General features: G+C 44.0%; 1 protein-coding gene and 1 pseudogene across 2 annotated transcripts in view, besides 1 other annotated feature; one reads left to right on the top strand and one right to left on the bottom strand.

Moving 5' to 3' along the window:
• RBM28 (RNA binding motif protein 28) overlaps positions 1 to 15,156 on the top strand; it is a 46,224-nt gene extending 31,068 nt beyond the window's left edge. For both annotated transcript variants that reach the window (NM_001166135.2, NM_018077.3), the window contains one exon: positions 1,910 to 15,156. In NM_001166135.2, coding sequence (NP_001159607.1) covers positions 1,910 to 2,044 — 135 coding nt within the window. In that variant the 3' untranslated portion in view covers positions 2,045 to 15,156. The remainder of the gene's footprint in view (positions 1 to 1,909) is intronic.
• Positions 5,256 to 6,133, bottom strand: LOC100418961 (aurora kinase A pseudogene; annotated as a pseudogene).
• Positions 13,331 to 13,625: an enhancer, noted in NCBI's record as "tiled region #322; K562 Activating non-DNase unmatched - State 7:EnhWF". NCBI's record gives its function as "activates a minimal TATA promoter and a strong SV40 promoter by Sharpr-MPRA in K562 cells {active_cell/tissue: K562}" and the evidence as "EXISTENCE:reporter gene assay evidence [ECO:0000049][PMID:27701403]".

The following is a 22,917-nucleotide window of genomic DNA, read 5'->3' as shown; positions in this document are numbered from 1 at the left end:
GTGCATCTCTAACTGATCAGGCCTTAAACACACACACCTTATGCCATTATAATATCTAATGAAACTAATAAGCCCTTTATCATCTACTACACAAATGATATATTAAATCCATATTAAAATTTGCCAAATTGCCTGAAAAAAATTTTTTTATACTTGGTTAGTATGAGTCGGGATCCAAAGTCCCACATTATACTTGGGTTTTTAATTTCTTAAATCATTTTTTTCTTCTCTAATATCCATTCTCCCTTACCACCCTTTTTTCCATGCTATTCATTTATTGGAGAAACCAGGTCATTTGTGTTACATTTTTAATTTAGCCATTTGCTTCTTTGTGGTGTCATTTAACTTGTCTCTGTGACACCCCCATATTGCCTGTCATCTGGTAGTTAGTTCGGTCTGGTAGCTTGATCAAGTTCAGTTTTCTTTTTTTAAAAATTTTTTTGAGGTGGAGTTTTGCTCTTGTTGCCTAGGCTGGAGTGCAATGGCGCAATCTCGGCTCACTGCAACCTCCGCCTCCAGGAGTAGCCTCCCGAGTAGCTGGAATTACAGGCATGCGCCACCATGCCCAGCTAATTTTGTATTTTAGTAGAGACGGGGTTTCACCATGTTGACCAGGCTGGCCTTGAACTCTTGACCTCAGGTGATTCGCCTGCCTCGGCCTCCCAAAGTGCTGGGATTACAGGTGTGAGCCACCGTGCTTGGCCTCAAGTTCAGTTTTCTTGAAGAGAGTATTTCATAGGTGGTGTGTGTGTTTCCTTATATCGCCTGAGGCACATACTACCTGGTTGCCCATTTTTAGTGATTCTGGGATTGATCAGTAGATTTGAGGATTATCTGCCTTATCCCTCCATTGATGAAGTTCCCAATTAGCCTTTCATGTAATGGCCTTAGCAGTTATTGATGAGTGTTACCAGATCCATTATTTCATTATGGGTTACAGAATGCTGATTATTTAAACTTCTATCCTTTTGCATTTTTAATTAGAACCCTAGAAAGAAAAATCTTCCTTTGTCAATTATTTGCTTACCACAAAATATCATTTATGTAGGAAAGACAGGATAAATGCTTGATTTTTTTTTTCTCTCTCTCTGTTAGTTTTCAGAGTAATGAGCTGTTGCCATACTGGCTCATTTTTTAGTATTATGAAATCCTGAGTTTTCATATGCTTGATGTGTTTCAAATACTGTCATTATTCTTACTCTGTGTAAGGCTGGCAGAAGCCCCTGCAGGTTGGCTTCTGAGTCTTTCTGATGTGGCGTATTTGTCTGGTAGTATCCTTGCTTTCTAGTGCAGGATGTCCCAGGCTCAGCTCAGGTACCTCTTCCCCAGTCCTGACATTAGCCATTTTCCCAAGGAGCCTTAGTTCCTTTTAGTAGAAAACGGTGGTCCTACATTCTTGAACACTTGAAGTCAAGCTTGCTTCTCCCCTTCCCTAGTCTCTTTCCTTTAAGGGTAAAAGCAGCATTAGCTTCCCATCCTACTCAAGAAATCTGTGTCTGGGAAGTTTCTGACGTATACCGTACTATAGTATAGAGATCTCTGAAATCCCATGAGCAGTGTTCTTGGGGAGGGAACAGGCAAGCAAGAATGGCCGGACTCTGTGCTGACTCATCTGCTTTGAGGCTAAAGTGAGCCTTTGGGAGCTAGAGTAAGAGAGGCCCCTGAGTCCCCAGCAGACAGGGAGGTTAGTCAGGCCCTGCTCCCTGTGCACTCACTCTTGGTCTAATTTCTTACCAGTGGATGATTCTGTTTGAGCCTTTCTCTCTAAGAGTCTCTCTCTAGAAACCTACCCCTTTCTGGTAGATATGATCTCTGTCCCACTTACTTTCTCTCTTGGGTGGCCTGAGGGTAAGGTGATATATAGTCTTTGAAATTGATTATATTATGTTTCTAATCCTTTCATTTGTAGGTATCTAGGAAAAAAGCTAAGGGAAATAAGACGGAAACCCGCTTCAACCAGCTGGTCGAACAATATAAGCAGAAATTATTGGGACCTTCTAAAGGAGCACCTCTTGCAAAGAGGAGCAAATGGTTTGATAGTTGATGATGGCAGCAGGCTGGGTAAGAAGCTGGGTTGTGTACTTTCTGGTGACACTCCTGGGCTCCTCCCCATCCCCCGTGTCTCTCACTGAGGGAAAGAAAATCCCCAAGGGCACTGCCACTGTGCTCGGAGGTGCCCTGGACTGTGTACATCTGAACTTTGGTCCATCCTTTGATGTGTGGTTCGTTAGCCACAAAGAGAAATATCTGAAAGTCAACATGATGCTTCTTGCATATTATCCAGATTATTGTATGAAGTTGTGTCTATAATTATTACCAATTTTTATTCTTTATTTCTCAAATGGAAACACCTGAAAAAGCATTCTGGAGTGCTGAATTTTTAAGATGTATATTTTGTTAAGCATATTCTCTAAATGAGATATTGTGTGGCTTTTTAGTAACAACGTCATTTCTAATATGTGTGACTCCTTTATTATGTATGAACATTCTTTGACATTCCTAATTCAGCTCTGTAGTCTTACACACTGCAGGAACTGTCTAAGCGAGAGCAGAGAGAAATGCTTTCTAACCTAATCGCTGCAGGCGGAGACACTTGGAAAAGAATGGGGGGAGGTGGGGCCTGACAGAGAGCAGCACTTATGTGTTTGTCAGATGAGGGGATTTCCAGTTGAATTGGCCTGCAGTGGCCTAAAGACACTAGCCTGGTTAGCGATGACCTGCATTTCTCTCATAGAGCACCTCCCTTTTCATCGTATCCACTAGCTCTCTAAGTCCTCCTTAATGAGGACACTTGATCCTCATTAAGTCTGCCCCTTAAGATGGCTTCACACCTACTGAAAAACTCCAGGGGTTTGACATCTCACTTTGATTGAAATCTTGTCTTCCTATAACATTTGATTCCCTGGGCTCTTCAGCCCTATCACCTCTGCTTGTCTTTATCCACTCTCTTCTTCATTCACTTTTGGCTACACAGGCCTTCCTTCCATCTCTTGACTCTTGACCACCTCAGAGCCTTTGTATCCGTTCCCTTTGCCTGGAGAGTTTTTCCCTTGCATCTTTTACTTGTCACTCAGATCTCCACTAGTTGTCGCCTCCTCCTGGAGCTCTTCCCAGACTATCTAAAGTAGGGCTTTTCTTCCCCTCCCCTCTATCTTGCCCCCTTACTGAAATCTGCTTCCCTGTTTCTTCTTCTTTTTTTTTTTTTTTTGAGATGGAGTCTCACTCTGTCGCCCAGGCTGGAGTGCAATGGCGCTGTCTCAGCTCATTGCAACCTCCACCTCCCGGGTTCAAGCGACTTTCCCGCCTCACCCTCCCAAGTAGCTGGGACTACAGGTGCACGCCACCATTCTTGGCTAAATTTTGTATTTTTAGTAGAGATGGGGTTTCACCATGTTGACTAGGCTGGTCTTGAACTCCTGACCTCAGGTGATCCGCCCACCTCGACCTCCCAAAGTCCTGGTATTACAGGCGTGAGCCACCACGCCTGGCCTGCTTCCCTGTTTCTTTCTAGCACTAATCTCTATCTGAAATCATTTGTCTCTTTCTAGCACTAATCTCTATCTGAAATTGTTTGTCTCTCCAGTTAGAATGTATGCTTTGTGAGAGGGACTTTATCCCTCTTGTTCACTCCTGTAGACACAGCACCTAGTACTGACCCAGGCACGTAGTAAGTATTGAATAAATATTTGTTGAATGAAAAAAATAAGGTAGGAAAGGAAGAAACAGTATTCAGTAGGCAAGAGAAAAAGTTGAGAACGTGGCCCAAAATTCTTGATTGCTTAGTCTAGTTGAGTGTTACAAATAATGCTTTGACAGAACCATTGCTGAGCTAGAGATATGGTTATTTCTTTTTTTTTTTTTTTTTTGAGACAGTCTTGCTCTGTTGCCCAGGCTGGAGTGCAATGGCATGATCTTGGCTCACTGCAACCTCCGCCTCCTGGGTTCAAGCGATTCTCCTGCCTCAGCCTCCCGAGTAGCGGGGATTACAGGTGCTGCCACCACGCCCGGCTAATTTTTGTATTTTTAGTAGAGACGGGTTTTCACCATGTTGGCCAGGCTGATCTCAAACTCCTGACCTTGTGATCTGCCCACCTCAGCCTCCTGAAGTGCTGGGATTACAGGCATGAGCCTGGTTGAGACATGGTTATTTCATCGCAATATCTTGGGGAACCCATGAATGCTCTGAAATGCCTTTGGTTTAGAAATGGATGAAGGAGAGGCCATGGAAATATTTAGACCTTTTGGAGAGATCGAAAGGACAGGTGATTTATCTCCAAGTTCACCTCGAGACATGACTTGGGCTGTCAAATGTTCTTACGGTAGCCTGGCAACATGTCTTTCTCAGCCTGGTCTGTACAGTGTGGAGGAAGTAAGGGACTTTATTAAGAGTGTCACAATAGCTATAACCTGCCAGTCAGGTGATCTGTTTTTCCTTGGCCATCTCTCCGTCTGCTCACCACTCTTTTTTCCCTAGTACACGAATATCTTTAACATTCAAAAATATATCTTAACACTTAGGATAGATCAAAATTGGTGTTCATTCAGATAACATTGTCAGATTCTCTTAGATCCAAATATTTCTTTTAACAACTTAACAGTATGTTAAAACCTCATTCACTTGCTTGGAGAGCTGTTGTACAGTTCTTTAAAGAGTTCTTTATATGAGGTTGAATCTTCCCTTTCTTAATAGTCAAATTCTATATATGGTGTCTTCCTTTGGAACACCTTACCATGGGCTATTTGGTCAGCTCCATTGACTCCTTGCCTTGGGAATTTTAGTGCAGTGAGAGTTGTGCTCACTTCTCCTTCACTTCAGGGCCTGATGTGTCAGGAAATGGAGTTTTCTGAATTAACATGAAAGTTGAGTTGCAGATTGCTTGGTTAAAAAACAACAGGTGGGGCACAGAGTCTCATACCTATGATTGCAGCACTTCGGGAGGTGGGAGGATTGCTTGAGGTCAGGAGTTTGAGACCGACCTGGCCAACATAGTGAGACCCCCATCTCTATTATTTTGAAAAACAACAGCAAATTTTTTCTTAACATCCAAGACAAGGCCACCAGTCAAAACTATCAAGTTTTAGTAGTATTTTCCTGCTTGATTATATAATAGCCTGGCTTAGAGATACAACCTTTAAATAAGGAATCTTAAGATGATGTGCAGCTGTTCTTTGCCTTATTTGTTTGTTTGTTGGTTAGTTTGTAGTTTCTAAGAATCTGCTCTGTTCAGCTGTACAGTTCCTTCTTCTGGAGTTAACCTGTGGCAAGGATTATGTTTCACCTGTCACAAAAATGAGATCTGTGCCTTCCTCTATTATAAAGTTAGGGCATGTGATTCATTCTTCGAAATACTTCAAAATGTACTTTGGTATGTTTTTGTCTTGAAAAGAGGTTTTCTAGCTAGAAATTCGGGGCCCAGAAGGTCAAGGCTCCAGAGATCCCCTTCTCATCATCCTTCAGTTGTCTGAGGAGACAGAGGATCACATGTGTCACAGTGAGTGCTGATTCCCCAGAATCTGCAGTCTTAAGCTCCCCTGCTGACGCACACAGCCAGTTCTCTGCTTCATATTCATGTGACCCACTGTGAAGTGACAGGCAGCTGCCAATTCTGTCATATAAGAAGCAGCTCTGCCCATGCAACTTTGAAAGTTCCTGCACTTCTCCATAGACTGCTCCTTCATGGAAATAAACACATCATCACACTGTGGGTGCCTAAGCTAAGTTTGTTTGCAGTTTGATGATGCCCAGCTCCTTTTCAACTCAGCCTTAATTGGCACTTTAAGGGCCAGGATGAGGTTTCTCTCAGGCCAAGTCGAGATTTCCAGATTTCCTTTTGTCCAAGGCTGACCAGTTTAGAAGTTATTCACATCCTTGTTTTAGTTCTTTCCTTCTTGTCCTGGTACCTCTTCCTTTCCAGGATTATTTGCAGAGTCTGTGATGGCTTACTTGGTGACCAGACATGGGGTGAGCTACTGGTATAGTCTGATTACTTTGGCATCTATTCTGAACTGGTCATTGGCTGTACATGAGTTTTTGTGCTGGTAAAGGAATATACTGGGAAGATTGGAAGGCACAGACTGGGAACTAATTCTGAGAAGAGAACTGCTGAGTTACTGAAAGACCTTTTGGACCACCCCTAAATGGAGCATCTTGATAGATGGCAAATCCAGTGTTTCTTAAACTTGTCCATGCTGCCCAGAGCCCACTGCCTTTTATCAGATGTGAGACTTCACTGCCACAGTGTCATCCCACAGTTTCCTTCCCTGGACATTTGATAAAGGGAAAATCATTTCTTGTCCTTTAAGGCAGGGACTATTATTTTTTCACTTTTCCACATACCCCACAACACCTAACATTGATTTACTCGTAGTAGGAGTTTCATACTGTTGAACTCTCTAAAGGCCATTTGTTCCAGGGCCTAGCTGGGCTTGTGAAGGACAACAGAGTCATTTCCTAAGGACCCCAAAAGACAGCATGAAGGAAAAAATAATAATAAACTGCTGTTCACAGTGCCTTGAGTGTACCACCGTACTTTCTGCTATGCCTTGTCCATTCCAATCTGGACAGTCTCTGTGCCCCTCCTTTCCACTCAAGTGTTATCCAGCACTCAAGTTCTGGCTCAAGGCCCAACATCTCCGTGGGGACCTCAGCCATCCCAGGGCATTGTGACCCCTTCCTCTAAGTCCCCGGCACACTCGCTGATTGGTACCCTCTCATTCGACAAAGCATATGCCATTGTGGCTTACTTGTCATTTCTTTAGGTCTTGCCTTCCCAAGTAGATCATGAGCCACTATAAGAACTAGCTCCCATAGTCCCAGCCCCTGGGCCTGGTACATGGCAATGCTTAGTGATTGGTGATTGAGGATAATGGTGGTAAAGGATGTACCAGACAGTCATCTCCTGAAGAGATGCCGAACAACCTGTCCTTGTTTTATGTATTTTCTCTTTCTTTCCTGTCCAGTTTTATTCCTCTCATAGTAACTGCTAAAAAAATATCAGTTCCTGTCACTCTTCCACCCCTTTTCTCCCTCTCCCCTGCATTGTGGTCTGGGCCTTGGTCCACTAGCAACTCCCCTTAGGTGTTGCTTAATCTGCCTCATGGCCAAAGCCAATCCCATTCCTGTCCCCCGCTACCCAAGGGACTCCCAGTCTGTATGCACAAGGCGGGATGTGAAGTCTGGATGTGCAAGAAACCCAGCTGTAAGAAACAGCTTCCCTCGGCTTGGCATGGTGGCTCATGCCTATATTCCCAGCACTTTGAGAGGTCAAAGTGGGAGAATCACTTGAGCCCAGGAGTTCAGGACTAGCCTGGGCAACATAGCAAGATCCCACCTCTACAAAAAAAGAAAAAATTCAGAGTCTCAAATGTCCCTTCATCTCCTTACTCTCGACCTGTCTCCCTAGTTCTCTGCCGCCTTTTCCTCTCCCCTGGATCTGACACTCAATTGTCTGCATGCACTTTTCAACTGAAAGAGACTCCAATGCCATCCTTCTGATGAAATTTTTGCTTTGGATACTACTGCAGAAAAAATGCTATCTTGTATTCTGGTCCATGGTGGGGAAGACCCTGTCGTAGAACCTGGCAACTCAAGTGGAGGGAGGGGCCAGAACATTGTTCTTATGCTATTTACAGTGAGACAACAGGATTGATGCAGAACTTTCTTTTTTTTTTTTTTTTTTTGAGACAGAGTTTCATTCTTGTTGCCCAGGGCTGGAGTGCAGTGGCATGATCTCAGCTCACTGCAACCTCCACCCCCCAGGTTCAAGCAGTTCTTCCTCAGCCTCCGGAGTAGCTGGGATTACAGGCGTGCGCCACCACGCCCCACTAATTTTTGTATTTTTGGTAGAGACGGGGTTTCACCAGTGTTGGCCAGGCTGGTCTCGAACTCCTGACCTCAGGTGATCCACCCACCTCGGCCTCCCAAAGTGCTGGGATTACAGGCATGAACCACCGTGCCCGGCCGTGATGCGCAACTTTCTAATAACATACTTTTGAAAGTGCCCAGACATACATCCCTCCTCTGGTACCACAGTGGCCATCAGTTGCCAGAGAACATGAAATTATCCAGCCCTCAGCTCTGCAGCAGGATTCTGAGGAGTAAAGCAGGCCTGTAAAGTACTCTAAAGTACTTCAGAGAGGTAATGCCACAAAGCGAAGAACACCTCTTGGAGGCAGAGCCCCTCAGCCCTATCCAGGCCAGCAGTGTCCACTTGAAATCTGAAAGCAGCCTCCCTCACCAAACCAGCAAGATGGAAAACCTCCCTGGGTTGGCAAGTGGCCCTGGGAAGTACATGCCCCATCTCTGTCAGGATAGCAGTGGAGAGGTTTCGTGCCAGTGCCAGCTCCACCCACCCAGATGGTACTCAAGACTCCAAGCCTGTCAATGGGGTGGAAACTTTCTGGCATTTTCTGTCAGAAGGGTGAGTTAGCACTGAACCATCTCATGTGTCTTTTCACTGAGTAACAGCCCATATCCATTCCATGAAATGAGTGACTGCTTTGTTGAATCAGATAGTAACAAACATTTATTTGTAGTCTGGTTGTGTCATATCATGGTTGAATTGCAAACAGGTTGGATAGAAGAGTCAGCAAAAATCAACAAAAGCATTCTGTAAAAAACTTTTCTAGAATTACAATAAATGGCATTGTATATTTTATTTATAAATTATGTGCTGCACATCATTTTTATCAATGAAATTTATAATAAATTTCTGTACATATATACATTTTTATCCCAGAGAGCCAGTTGTTAAGCATTTACCAGCAATAAATGCTTTTTGTTTCCTGCTTACACAGGTTCTGGGAGTGGCCAGCCCACTCTTTGAGATGTCCCCACTTGCTTTTTTAGTTGTCCAAGTAGTGTTCTGCCCAGCCTTCCCGACTCTCTTTCTTATCCTTCCCTCGAAACTATTCTGTTCCTTATGCTTAAATACTTTCCAGTCATGGGAGCTTTGCTGTAGGCCCTTGGCCTTTCATGGGTAGCTTCTGATACGTGCATGGGTGTTAATAGAGGAAGTTGACCCCGCCTGGGAAGAATAATGACCTATGGAGACCTGGCCCTTTCTCTTATGGCTTCTTAAAGTGACAGCTGTTATGGGAAGTTCAGGCATCTTGACGTGGAAAATACATTGTTCATTTTCTTTTAATTTTTTTTCCCCTAACCACTATACCAACAGGGATGGAAAGATACTTTTAGTTGGAAGGAATTTGGAGCCCTTAAACGACACCTGGAGCAGCTGCCTGTGGGTGGGGCTTTGCACAGTCTCATCCTGGCAAGGGAGGACGAGCCAAGGACCAGTTTTGCAGAATTGTCATCATGAGGCCCTGGTTGTGTGCTGGGCTGGGGCATTGCCCCTTTCCAGGAGGCCAGGCCAAGCAGGGCTGCCTGGCTTAGGCTTTTGCATCTTCAGCATCCTTTCACGTCTCTTATCTCAGGTGACCTTCACAGCAAGCCTGGTGAAGGTTATTGAGAAGCAGATGTCACCACCTAGTCTTAGAGCTGATGAAAGCAGGATGTGGGGAAGTCCAGACCCTCTCCTGAAACCCCTTGGCCACCTGAGCTAGTACCAGAGCAAGGTCCCACTTGGCCGTGAGTGCTGTCTCTAGGGCCTATTTCAGGAACTGTCTCATATATAAGAACAGAACACTTTTTGCCAGCTATACCAAATGTTTTTGGGATTAAAAAAATAGTTTCTCTTTTCCAAATTAGGTGGTAAGAAAAGGAAGGGCATTTTCATTCTCACATTCTTTGAATGTTGAAACGTTTTAAAAACTTCCAGCTGGGCTTGGTGGCTCATACCTGTAACCCCAGCACTATGGGAGGCTGAGATGGGAGGATCCCTTGAGGCCAGGAGTTCAGGACCAGCCTGGGCAACATAGTAAAACTGCCCAAAATTTGAAAATTAGCCTTGTGTGGTGGTGTGCACTGTAGTCCCAGCTGCTCGGGAGGCTGGGGCAGGAGGATTGCTTGAGCCCAGGAGTTTGAGGCTGCAGTGAGCTATGGTTGTACCACTGTACTCCAACCTGGGCAACAGCGTGATACCCTGTCTAAAAAAATAATAAAAATAAAAAAGGATTAAACCCTTTACTTGACCAGCTTCTTTTCCTGCTACCCCTGGACTAACTAATCATTACATATTTTTGTAGTTGTTTTTTCTTTCTTTCTCTCTCCTGATCTACCACAAGCCAAATGTACTCATATACATACTAATAGGTGAAAAAAGAGAGTCTGAGGAGTGAATACATTTATTTTGTGATTTCCTAGGCAGTAGCTAGGACTCCCTTAGAGGTTGCTAATAGGGAAAGGGTGCGCTGGCTCTACTCAGTTTTATAACTGCTTTTCCCCGAATTCTGCAGACATCTTCATTCCCCTGGAGGTCAGATAATGGCTATTTATTTTCCATAGCCATGAAAATCTCTGGGGAGAGCTGTGGCAATTTGACGAGAGCTATTAAAGGGACATTAGGATTGAAGTAGCTGCTCAGGCAGTCACATACCCTCGATCCTCATCTGCAGGGACAGCTGCCAGAACGAATGAGCCCAGCTCTCCTGCCCGCAGCCAGCCGCGTGTGGGTGCAACTGGCGACCAGCCACTGGAGTGAGTCCCAGGGAAGGGGACAGGTTCTTAGAATCACCATTTGTCTCTGCTCTCTCCCTCTCTGCAATAGGACGGGCACTCTAAACTCACATAATGGTTAATAACAACAGCTAACAATTACTGAGCACCTACTATGTGTCAGGCATGTGCTGAGGATGATCGCATCAAGTAAAATGCCTGTCTCTGGCCCAGAGGCCCAGAAGAAGAGAAAGAAGGGAAATCTGTAGGAGGCAAACAGTCCCTTACCCCTCTGCTTGCAGACCTTCAGTGACAGGACACTCCCTGTTTGCTCCAAGCACCTCTTGCATTTTCAGAGCTTGGGACACAGATTCAGGGACTTGCACTTCGATAGAGTGCCTCAGGACCCCTCGTCGGAGCCATGGAAAGTCAGTTTCTGGGCCCATCCTTCCTGTGGGGGTGTCTTTCCTTCTCTTGGCCACCCCCTAGGAATCCCTAGTAGAGAGCAGGCACTTAATAGCCAGTGCAGTGAGAGTGGTCTGTGATGTCTGGGCCAGGGCAAGGCCCGCCAAGTGGGCTCCCAGGTGCCTGCCACAGAGCCTCTGGGGTTTGAGGCCCTCAGTGACCCTTAGGCAATAGCTGGGTCTTAATGAGGGATCATGTCCTTTCCTGGGTAGTCGTGGGTAGAGGGGTGTGAACTGATCTGAGCTACTCTAGGAAGGCTAGAGACAAAAGCAGGAACCAAGAGAAGGGCTGAGGCTCCTTCCAAGAGACTCCAAGTCCTGAGGGCAAGAAGCGGAGAGCCTTGTGCCAGGCCAGGTGTTGCCCCTGTCAGTGCTGACGGACAGGCAAGAGAGGCTGCTGATGCTGCAGCCCTGTGAAGCTGAGACTCACCCTTTGCCCACTTTCACAGCCATCTCCCCAGGAGGCTGTGGTGACACAGGTAAAAGCCAAAGGACAGAGGATGACCCTGGACAAATCACTCAGACCCTCCAGTCCTCTTTGCTCATTTATAAAATACAGGCAAAAAGCCCCCTAGTACTAAATGAAATAGCCACTGTAAAAGAGCACGGGAGATAGGGTCTGTGATGTCTTTTGTCCCCAGTGTCCTGAGTGAATTCACAGGAAAGGGGAGAAAGACTGGTTGCCCACTTCCAGGGTGATTGGCTAATTTCCACTTCTTTCCTGCTAGGGATGGGAACACACGCCAGAATCCTGGGAAGGCTACATGTCCTCAGGTGGTGCTGGCCCCACCTCCAGCCTCTGCAGGGATACCAGGATATGAGCCAGGCTCTGCTCCCGGGGTGACCCATCCTCCTCAGTGCCCCTTCTTTCCTCACAACTGCAGGCAGAAGGAGAGTGTGTCCTGTCTCTCTGAGGAGCTGGCTGTGCCATTTAAGCAGGCCCTAGGGGTGGAGCGCTGTGAAGAGATGGCACCCAGGTCCCTGTTCCTCCTTTTCCAGAGCAAACACTGCTAAGGGATCATGACAGTCCCTGCATCTGGCCCAGACTGGGCCTTGGGAGGCTTTTGACATCAATCCATGCAACCGCACCCAACAATTGGAGTCAGCATGGGAGGTGAGACCCACTTGCCAATTTTGCTCTCAGGGAACAGCCCTCTTTACTAAAACATAGCACAGTATTGATAACAGTTGTTTCCAGGCATCGTAGAAAGCGTTTAGTGGGCATTAACGTCTTTGATCCTCACCACAAGGTCAGGGGTTGGATGATGTTAGCATGCTCATTGAAGGATCAGAAAAGTCAGGCTCAAGATAGCTCGCCCTTCATTCAGCCAGCCGGTGTTAACTGAATATTAACTGTGCACCCGTCTGTGCCAGTGTTCCCCCAGGAGCTGCAGAGGGTCCTGAGCAGAGTGAGCTCAAGCCACTTGGGAGCTCACATTCCAGCTATCAGTGCTGATTCATCTCAAATGTTTGATCCACGCTGGGTTCTAACCCTTCCCTGCTCAGAGCCCTCAGAGTCCAGGTCAGGTAGAACCCAGAACAGAGCCTCTGGCAGGAAGGAGCTTGCATGGTCCTCAGGCTTCATGTCCAGAGATCATTCCTCCACTTTGAGCTTCTTTGTGAAAACCAATCACAAAGAGAGGAGGGGTGAAATGTGCCAAAGCCTCTGCCAGGGTTGTAGCAAGGAAACCTGGGCTTCTAGGGAAAGTTGAGAAAGGGCCTATATTAGTCAGGAGGGCTACTGTAAGAGAGTACCACAGGCTGGGTGGCTTAAACAACAGAAATTTATCACCTTACGGTTCTGGAGGCTAGAAGTCTAAAATCAAAGTGTTGGCAAGGTTGGTTCCTTCATGAGGAATTTCTTGGCGTTGCCTGGCATATAGATGCATCACTGCAGTCTCTGCCTCGTTGTCACATGGCCATCTTCTCCCTGTGTCTATAGGTCTATGTCCAAATTTCCCTCTTCTTATAAAGACACCAGTCATATTGGCTTAGGCCCAGCCCAATGATTTCATCTTAATTTGATTACATCTCTGCTATGGTTTGAATGTGTCCCTTCCAAAATTCAGGTTATTGCCAATGTGATAGTATTGAGATGGGGTCCTTAAAGAAGTAATTAGGCCATGAGGGTGCCTCTCTCTGAAGGGAGGCTCATTGGATTGTATCAGTGTAACATAATTTACATAACCAGTTCTTTATGTGATGGAAATCCCATTCAACGGTTTCCAACCTTTGCTATTACAAACTGCTGTGAAGAGAAACATATGTCATTATACTAATCAGGTGCTGTTGTTGTTTTTATAATGCATTATCCTGGAGAGACTGCCCCTCCCAGGGCTAGCTACTTTGGGGAGAGAGTAAACAACTTGGTCGAGCGTGCCTTTCGTATGCAAACCAGTCAATCCAGAGCCCACACCCCCAGTCACCTCCTTTATCAAACTCTGACACAGCAAGCCAATATTCCCCCTGCCCTAAATCACTCCAGGGCCAGGCATGGGACAACTAGGGACAATCCCTATAGCCAGGGCCTGCCAAAGTTATACAGATTAGCCAATCCTAAGCCTGCTTCCCTGCCTTGCCTTGCCTTTCTGCTGGAAACTACATTAAAGGCGCTGGATCGTGCTTTTCCCTCACCCCCTCTGCTTCTTGGCTGACCCAAGTTCTTCCTGTGTGGCCCTGCAAGGCGTGACACACCTCTCCTCCTGGGAACTGCATAACAAACTCTTCTTGCAGAGATAGTTTTCTCTGTGTCTGTCATCTTACCATACCTGATGAAAACAAATATGGGTACATTTTTTTTTTTTTTTGAGAGAGAGGGTCTCACTCTGTCTCCCAGGCTGGAGTGCAGTGGTGTAATCACAGGTCACTGCAGCCTCGACCTCCTGGGCTCTAGTGATCCTCCCACGTCAGCCTTGCAAATAGCTGAGACTACAGGCACACACCACCATGCCTAGCTAATTTTTGGTGTATTTGTTATAGAGACAGAGTTTCGCTATGTTGCCCAGGCTGGTCTCAAACTCCTGAGCTCAAGTGATCCACCCACCTTAGCCTCTCAAAGTGCTGGGATTATAAGTGTGAGCCACAGCATCCAGCCATGGGTACATTTTAAAGCAGGCGTTTTGTTCATGTGCAGCCCTTGTTCTCAGTTAAGGGGAAAATGAGTGATCCTTTGCTTGGCTCTGAAGGAGCAGTGTTTTATATGTAAAGAATATATTCTGTATATTTAAAGAAGAGCAATGGGGGGCATTTGAAAATAAATCCGTTCATTTTTTTCTGATTGTAAAAATAATATATGCTCAGTAAAGAGAATCTGAAAAATACAGAAGTATTGGGGGAACCCACCCCCAATATTTCAACATAGGTTCTTTCTATTTTCCATAAGTGTCGGCCGACTGAGAAATAAAGAGAAATAGTACAAAGAGAGGAATTTTAACAGCTGGGCTGCCGGGGGTGACGTCGCATATCAGTAGGACTGTGATGCCCACCTGAGCCTCAAACCAGCAAGTTTTTTATTAAGGGTTTCAAAAGGGGAGGGGGTGTAAAACAGGGAGTAGGTACAAAGATCACATGCTTCAAAGGGCAAAAGCAGAACAAAGATCACATGCTTCTGAGGAAACAAGACAAAAGGCAAAACAGAACTACTGATAAGGGTCTATGTTCAACTGTGCGCGTATTGTCTTTTTTTTTTATTATTTAAGTTTTAGGGTACATGTGCACACTGTGCAGGTTAGTTACATATGTATACATGTGACATGCTGGTCGCTGCACCCACTAACTCGTCATCTAGCATTAGGTATATCTCCCAATGCTATCCCTCCCCCCTCCCCCCACCCCTCAATAGTCCCCAGAGTGTGATGTTCCCCTTCCTGTGTCCATGTGTTCTCATTGTTCAATTCCCACCTATGAGTGAGAATATGCGGTGTTTGGTTTTTTGTTCTTGCGATAGTTTACTGAGAATGATGATTTTCAATTTCATCCGTGTCCCTACAAAGGACATGAACTCATCATTTTTTATGGCTGCATATGTGTATATGTGCCACATTTTCTTAATCCAGTCTATCATTGTTGGACATTTGGGTTGGTTCCAAGTCTTTGCTATTGTGAATAGTGCCGCAATAAACATACGTGTGTGTGTGTCTTTATAGCAGCATGATTTATAGTCCTTTGGGTATATACCCAGTAATGGGATGGCTGGGTCAAATGGTATTTCTAGTTCTAGATCCCTGAGGAATCGCCACACTGACTTCCACAATGGTTGAACTAGTTTACAGTCCCACCAACAGTGTAAAAGTGTTCCTATTTCTCCACATCCTCTCCAGCACCTGTTGTTTCCTGACTTTTTAATGATTGCCATTCTAACTGGTGTGAGATGGTATCTCATTGTGGTTTTGATTTGCATTTCTCTGATGGCCAGTGATGGTGAGCATTTTTTCATGTGTTTTTTGGCTGCCTAAATGTCTTCTTTTGAGAAGTGTCTGTTCATGTCCTTCGCCCACTTTTTGATGGGGTTGTTTGTTTTTTCTTGTAAATTTGTTTGAGTTCATTGTGGATTCTGGATATTAGCCCTTTGTCAGATGAGTAGGTTGCGAAAATTTTCTCCCATTTTGTGGGTTGCCTGTTCACTCTGATGGTAGTTTCTTTTGCTGTGCAGAAGCTTTTTAGTTTAATTAGATCCCATTTGTCAATTTTGTCTTTTGTTGCCATTGCTTTTGGTGTTTTAGACATGAAGTCCTTGCCCGTGCCTATGTCCTGAATGGTAATGCCTAGGTTTTCTTCTAGGGTTTTTATGGTTTTAGGTCTAACGTTTAAGTGTTTAATCCATCTTGAATTGATTTTTGTATAAGGTGTAAGGAAGGGATCCAGTTTCAGCTTTCTACATATGGCTAGCCAGTTTTCCCAGCACCATTTATTAAATAGGGAATCCTTTCCCCATTGCTTGTTTTTCTCAGGTTTGTCAAAGATCAGATAGTTGTAGATATGCGGCGTTATTTCTGAGGGCTCTGTTCTGTTCCATTGATCTGTATCTCTGTTTTGGTACCAGTACCATGCTGTCTTGGTTACTGTAGCCTTGTAGTATAGTTTGAAGTCAGGTAGTGTGATGCCTCCAGCTTTGTTCTTTTGGCTTAGGATTGACTTGGCAATGCGGGCTCTTTTTTGGTTCCATATGAACTTTAAAGTAGTTTTTTCCAATTCTGTGAAGAAAGTCATTGGTAGCTTGATGGGGATGACATTGAATCTATAAATTACCTTGGGCAGGATGGCCATTTTCACAATATTGATTCTTCCTACCCATGAGCATGGAATGTTCTTCCATTTGTTTGTATCCTCTTTTATTTCATTGAGCAGTGGTTTGTAGTTCTCCTTGAAGAGGTCCTTCACGTCCCTTGTAAGGTGGATTCCTAGGTATTTTATTCTCTTTGAAGCAATTGTGAATGGGAGTTCACTCATGATTTGGCTCTCTGTTTGTCTGTTATTGATGTATAAGAATGCTTGTGATTTTTGTACATTGATTTTGTATCCTGAGACTTTGCTGAAGTTGCTTATCAGCTTAAGGAGATTTTCGGCTGAGACAATGGGGTTTTCTAGATATACAATCATGTCGTCTGCAAACAGGGACAATTTGACTTCCTCTTTTCCTAATTGAATACCCTTTATTTCCTTCTCTTGCCTAATTGCCCTGGCCAGAACTTCCAACACTATGCTGAATAGGAGTGGTGAGAGAGGGCATCCCTGTCTTGTGCCAGTTTTCAAAGGGAATGCTTCCAGTTTTTGCCCGTTCAGTAGGATATTGGCTGTGGGTTTGTCATAAATAGCTCTTATTATTTTGAGATACGTCCCATCAATACCTAATTTATTGAGAGTTTTTAGCATGAAGGGTTGTTGAATTTTGTCAAAGGCCTTTTCTGCATCTATTGAGATAATCATGTGGTTTTTGTCTGTGGTTCTGTTTATATGCTGGATTACATTTATTGATTTGCTTATATTGAACCAGCCTTGCATCCCAGGGATGAAGTCCACTTGATCATGGTGGATAAGCTTTTTGATGTGCTGCTGGATTTGGTTTGCCAGTATTTTATTGAGGATTTTTGCATCAGTGTTCATCAAGACTATTGGTCTAAAATTCTCTTTTTTGTTTGTGTCTCTGCCAGGCTTTGGTATCAGGATGATGCTGGCCTCATAAAATGAGTTAGGGAGGATTCCCTCTTTTTCTATTGATTGGAATAGTTTCAGAAGGAATGGTACCAGTTCCTCCTTGTACCTCTGGTAGAATTCGGCTGTGAATCCATCTGGTCCTGGACTCTTTTTGGTTGGTAAGCTATTGATTATTGCCACAATTTCAGCTCCTGTTATTGGTCTATTCAGAGATTCAACTTCTTCCTGGTTTAGTCTTGGAAGAGTGTATGTGTTGAGGAATTTATCCATTTCTTCTAGATTTTCTAGTTTATTTGCATAGAGGTGTTTGTAGTATTCTCTGATGGTAGTTTGTATTTCTGTGGGATCGGTGGTGATATCCCCTTTATCATTTTTTATTGCGTCTATTTGATTCTTCTCTCTTTTTTTCTTTATTAGTCTTGCTAGTGGTCTATCAATTTTGTTGATCCTTTCAAAAAACCAGCTCCTGGATTCATTGATTTTTTGAAGGGTTTTTTGTGTCTCTATTTCCTTCAGTTCTGCTCTGATTTTAGTTATTTCTTGCCTTCTGCTAGCTTTTGAATGTGTTTGCTCTTGCTTTTCTAGTTCTTTTAATTGTGATGTTAGGGTGTCAATTTTGGATCTTTCCTGCTTTCTCTTGTGGGCATTTAGTGCTATAAATTTCCCTTTACACACTGCTTTGAATGTGTCCCAGAGATTCTGGTATGTTGTATCTTTGTTCTCGTTGGTTTCAAAGAACATCTTTATTTCTGCCTTCATTTCGTTATGTACCCAGTAGTCATTCAGGAGCAGGTTGTTCAATTTCCATGTAGTTGAGCGGTTTTGAGTGAGTTTCTTAATCCTGAGTTCTAGTTTGATTGCACTGTGGTCTGAGAGATAGTTTGTTATAATTTCTGTTCTTTTACATTTGCTGAGGAGAGCTTTACTTCCAACTATGTGGTCAATTTTGGAATAGGTGTGGTGTGGTGCTGAAAAAAATGTATATTCTGTTGATCTGGGGTGGAGAGTTCTGTAGATGTCTATTAGGTCCGCTTGGTGCAGAGCTGAGTTCAATTCCTGGGTATCCTTGTTGACTTTCTGTCTCGTTAATCTGTCTAATGTTGACAGTGGGGTGTTAAAGTCTCCCATTATTAATGTGTGGGAGTCTACGTCTCTTTGTAGGTCACTCAGGACTAGCTTTATGAATCTGGGTGCTCCTGTATTGGGTGCATATATATTTAGGATAGTTAGCTCTTCTTGTTGAATTGATCCCTTTACCATTATGTAATGGCCTTCTTTGTCTCTTTTGATCTTTGTTGGTTTAAAGTCTGTTTTATCAGAGACTAGGATTGCAACCCCTGCCTTTTTTTGTTTTCCATTTGCTTGGTAGATCTTCCTCCATCCTTTTATTTTGAGCCTATGTGTGTCTCTGCATGTGAGATGGGTTTCCTGAATACAACACACTGATGGGTCTTGACTCTTTATCCAACTTGCCAGTCTGTGTCTTTTAATTGGAGCATTTAGTCCATTTACATTTAAAGTTAATATTGTTATGTGTGAATTTGATCCTGTCATTATGATGTTAGCTGGTTATTTTGCTCGTTAGTTGATGCAGTTTCTTCCTAGTCTCGATGGTCTTTACATTTTGGCATGATTTTGCAGCGGCTGGTACCAGTTGTTCCTTTCCATGTTTAGCACTTCCTTCAGGAGCTCTTTTAGGGCAGGCCTGGTGGTGACAAAATCTCTCAGCATTTCTTGTCTGTAAGGTATTTTATTTCTCCTTCACTTACGAAGCTTAGCTTGGCTGGATATGAAATTCTGGGTTGAAAATTCTTTTCTTTAAGAATGTTGAATATTGGCCCCCACTCTCTTCTGGCTTGTAGAGTTTCTGCCGAGAGATCAGCTGTTAGTCTGATGGGCTTCCCTTTGTGGGTAACCCGACCTTTCTCTCTGGCTGCCCTTAACATCTTTTCCTTCATTTCAACTTTGGTGAATCTGACAATTATGTGTCTTGGAGTTGCTTTTCTTGAGAAGTATCTTCGCGGCATTCTCTGTATTTCCTGAATCTGAATGTTGGCCTGCCTTGCTAGATTGGGGAAGTTCTCCTGGATAATATCTTTTAGTGTTTTCTAACTTGGTTCCATTCTCCCTGTCACTTTCAGGTACACCAATTAGACGTAGATTTGGTCTTTTCACATAGTCCCATATTTCTTGGAGGCTTTGTTCGTTTCTTTCTATTCTTTTTTCTCTAAACTTCCCTTCTCGCTTCATTTCATTCATTTCATCTTCCATCGCTGATACCCTTTCTTCCAGTTGATCGCATCGGCTCCTGAGGCTTCTGCATTCTTCACGTAGTTCTCGAGCCTTGGCTTTCAGCTCCATCAGCTCCTTTAAGCACTTCTCTGTATTGGTTATTCTAGTTATACATTCGTCTAAATTTTTTTCAAAGTTTGTGACTTCTTTGCCTTTGGCTTGAATTTCCTCCTGTAGCTCGTAGTTTGATCGTCTGAAGCCTTCTTCTCTCAACTCGTCAAAGTCATTCTCCATCCAGCTTTGTTCCATTGCTGGTGAGGAACTGTGATCCTTTGGAGGAGGAGAGGTGCTCTGCTTTTTAGAGTTTCCGGTTCTTCTGTTCTGTTTTTTCCCCATCTTTGTGGTTTTATCTACTTTTAGTCTTTGATGATGGTGATGTGCAGATGGGTTTTTGGTGTGCATGTCCTTTCTGTTTGTTAGTTTTCCTTCTAACAGACAGGACCCTCAGCTGCAGGTCTGTTGGAGTTTGCTAGAGATCCACTCCAGACTCTGTTTGCCTGGGTATCAGCAGCGGTGTCTGCAGAACAGTGGTTTTTCGTGAACCGCAAATGCTGCTGTCTAATCGTTCCTCTGCAAGTTTTGTCTCAGAGGAGTACCCGGCCATGTGGGGTGTCAGTCTGCCCCTACTGGGGGGTGCCTCCCAGTTAGGCTGCTCAGGGGTCAGGGACCCACTTGAGGAGGCAGTCTGCCCGTTCTCAGATCTCCAGCTGAGTGCTGGAAGAACCACTGCTCTCTTCAAAGCTGTCAGACAGGGACATTTAAGTCTGCAGAGGTTACTGCTGTCTTTTTGTTTGTCTGTGCCCTGCCCCCAGAGGTGGAGCCTACAGAGGCAGTCAGGCCTCCTTGAGCTGTGGTAGGCTCCACCCAGTTGGAGCTTCCCGGCTGCTTTGTTTACCTAAGCAAGCCTGGGCAATGGCGGGCGCCCCTCCCCCAGCCTCGCTGCTGCCTTGCAGTTTGATCTCAGACTGCTGTGCTAGCAATCAGCGAGACTCCGTGGGCCTAGGACCCTCCAAGCCAGGTGCAGGATATAATCTCCTGGTGCGAGGTTTTTTAAGCCCGTTGGAAAAGCGCAGTATTCGGGTGGGAGTGACCCAATTTTCCAGGTGCCGTCTGTCACCCCTTTCTTTGACTAGGAAAGGGAACTCCCTGACCCCTTGTGCTTCCCGAGTGAGGCAATGCCTCGCCCTGCTTCGGCTCACGCACGGTGCGCTGCACCCACTGACCTGGGCCCACTGTCTGGCACTCCGTAGTGAGATGAACCTGGTACCTCAGATGGAAATGCAGAAATCACCTGTGTTCTGCGTCACTCACGCTGGGAGCTGTAGACCGGAGCTGTTCCTATTTGGCCATCTTGGCTCCTCCCCCCCCCCGTATTGTCTTGATAAACATCTTAAACAGCAGAAAACAGGGTTGAGACCAGAGAACTGGTCTGACCACAGATTTACCAGGGCGGAGTTTTTCCCCACCCTAATAAGCCTGAGGGTACTGCAGGAGACCAGGGAATACCTCAATCCTTATCTCAACCACATAAGAGAGAAACTCCCAGAGCAGCTGTTTATAGACCTCCCCCCAGGAATGCATTCCTTTCCCAGGGTATTAATATTAATATTCCTTGCTAGGAAAAGAATTTAGCGATATCTCTCCTACTTGCACATCCGTTTATAGGCTCTCTGCAAGAAGAAAAATATGGCTCTTTTTGCCTGACCCCACAGGCAGTCAGACCTTATAGTTGTCTTCCCTTGTTCCCTAAAAATCAGTTATTCTGTTCTTTTTCAAGGTGCACTGATTTCATATTGTTCAAACACACATGTTTTACAATCATTTTGTACAGTTAACACAAATATCACAGTGGTCCTGAGGTGACATACATCCTCAGCTTATGAAGATAACAGGATTAAGAGATTAAAGTAAAGACAGGCATAAGAAATTATAAAAGTATTATTTGGGAACTGATAAATGTCCATGAAATTTTCACAATTCATGTTCCTTTGCTGTGGCTCCAGCCGGTCCCTCCGTTCGGGGTCCCTGACTTTCCACAACACACAAGAAAATTTAAAAAATTTAAAACCAACTATTCCTCCAAAAATTAAAAATAGAAATATCATGTGATCCAGGAATTTCACTCTTCAGTATATACTCAGAAGAACTGGAAGCAGGGATGTGAACATAAATGTGTACATCACTGTTCATAGCATTATTCACAGTAGTTAAAAAGGGGAAACAGCCCAAATGTCCATCAACAGATGAATGGATGAACAAAATGGGATATTTAAGTTATGTACAATGGAACATTATTCAGCCATAGAAAAGAATGAAATTCTGATACGTGCTGCAACATGGGTGAACCTTAAAAACACTGTGCTAAGTGAAATAACCCAGACAAAGGGAAAATATAATATGATTCCACTTGTATGAAGTACCTAGACTAGGCAGATTTGTGAGCGACAGAAAGTGCCACAGACGTTACCAGAGGCTGAGAGTAAGGGGCAATGGGGAGGGAGGTATTGTTTAATGGGTACAGAGCTTCAGTGTGGGAAGATGAAAAAGTCCTGGAAGATGAAAGAAAAAATTCTGGAAAATTATAGTAGTGATAGGTTACCTAATATTGTGAAAGTACTTAATGCTACTGAATTATACACTAAAAAATTGTTAAAGTGGTAAATTTTGTTACATGTATTTTACTGGAATGAAAACAATTAAAACCATCTATAAATCATGGTATCCAGAGGAAACAATAAGTATTTTGGCTGATTTTAACACTTTTTTTCCCCTGTAGATATGTGTTTTATAAAATTTGGCTAATAATACTATGCATGTAATCCTGAGCTCTTGAATTTTACATTTTAATTGTATTTTCCTTATCATTAAATACAATGAAATCACCACCTTTAATGGTTGCATAATTTAACATTATATGGATGTTCCATGTAATGTTAAATATGTGTAATGTTCCATGTCATTTAATTGTATTTTCCATGTCATTAAATATAATGAAATCATCACCTTTAATGGTTGCATAATTTAACATCACATGGATGTGCCATGATTCCCTTTAGACATTGAGGCAGTTTCTAATTTTTCATTACTATAAATAATGCAGTGATGAACATCTTTTTGTTGTTTTTTGAGATAGAGTCTTGCTCTGTCACCCAGGCTGTAGTGCAGTGGTGTAATCATAGTTCATTGCCAGCCTTGAACTCCAGGGCTCAAGCGATTCTCCAACCTCAGCCTCTCGAGAAGCTAGGACCACAAGTGTGTGCTACCATGCCCAGCTAATTTTTTTATTTTTTGTAGAGATGGGGGTCTCCCTTTGTTGCCCAGACTGGTCTCAAACTCCTGGGCTCAAGTGATCCTCCTGCCTTAGCCTCCCAAAGTGCTGGGATTACAGGCATGAGCCACTGTCCAGCAATGAACATCTTTGTAGATAAACATTGGCCTTTCTAATTAATTCCT

Source organism: Homo sapiens, chromosome 7 (assembly GCF_000001405.40).
Source record: "Homo sapiens chromosome 7, GRCh38.p14 Primary Assembly".
Lineage (NCBI taxonomy): Eukaryota > Metazoa > Chordata > Mammalia > Primates > Hominidae > Homo > Homo sapiens.
Note: the sequence above shows the minus strand (reverse complement) of the source record. Positions and strands in the feature narration are given on the sequence as shown.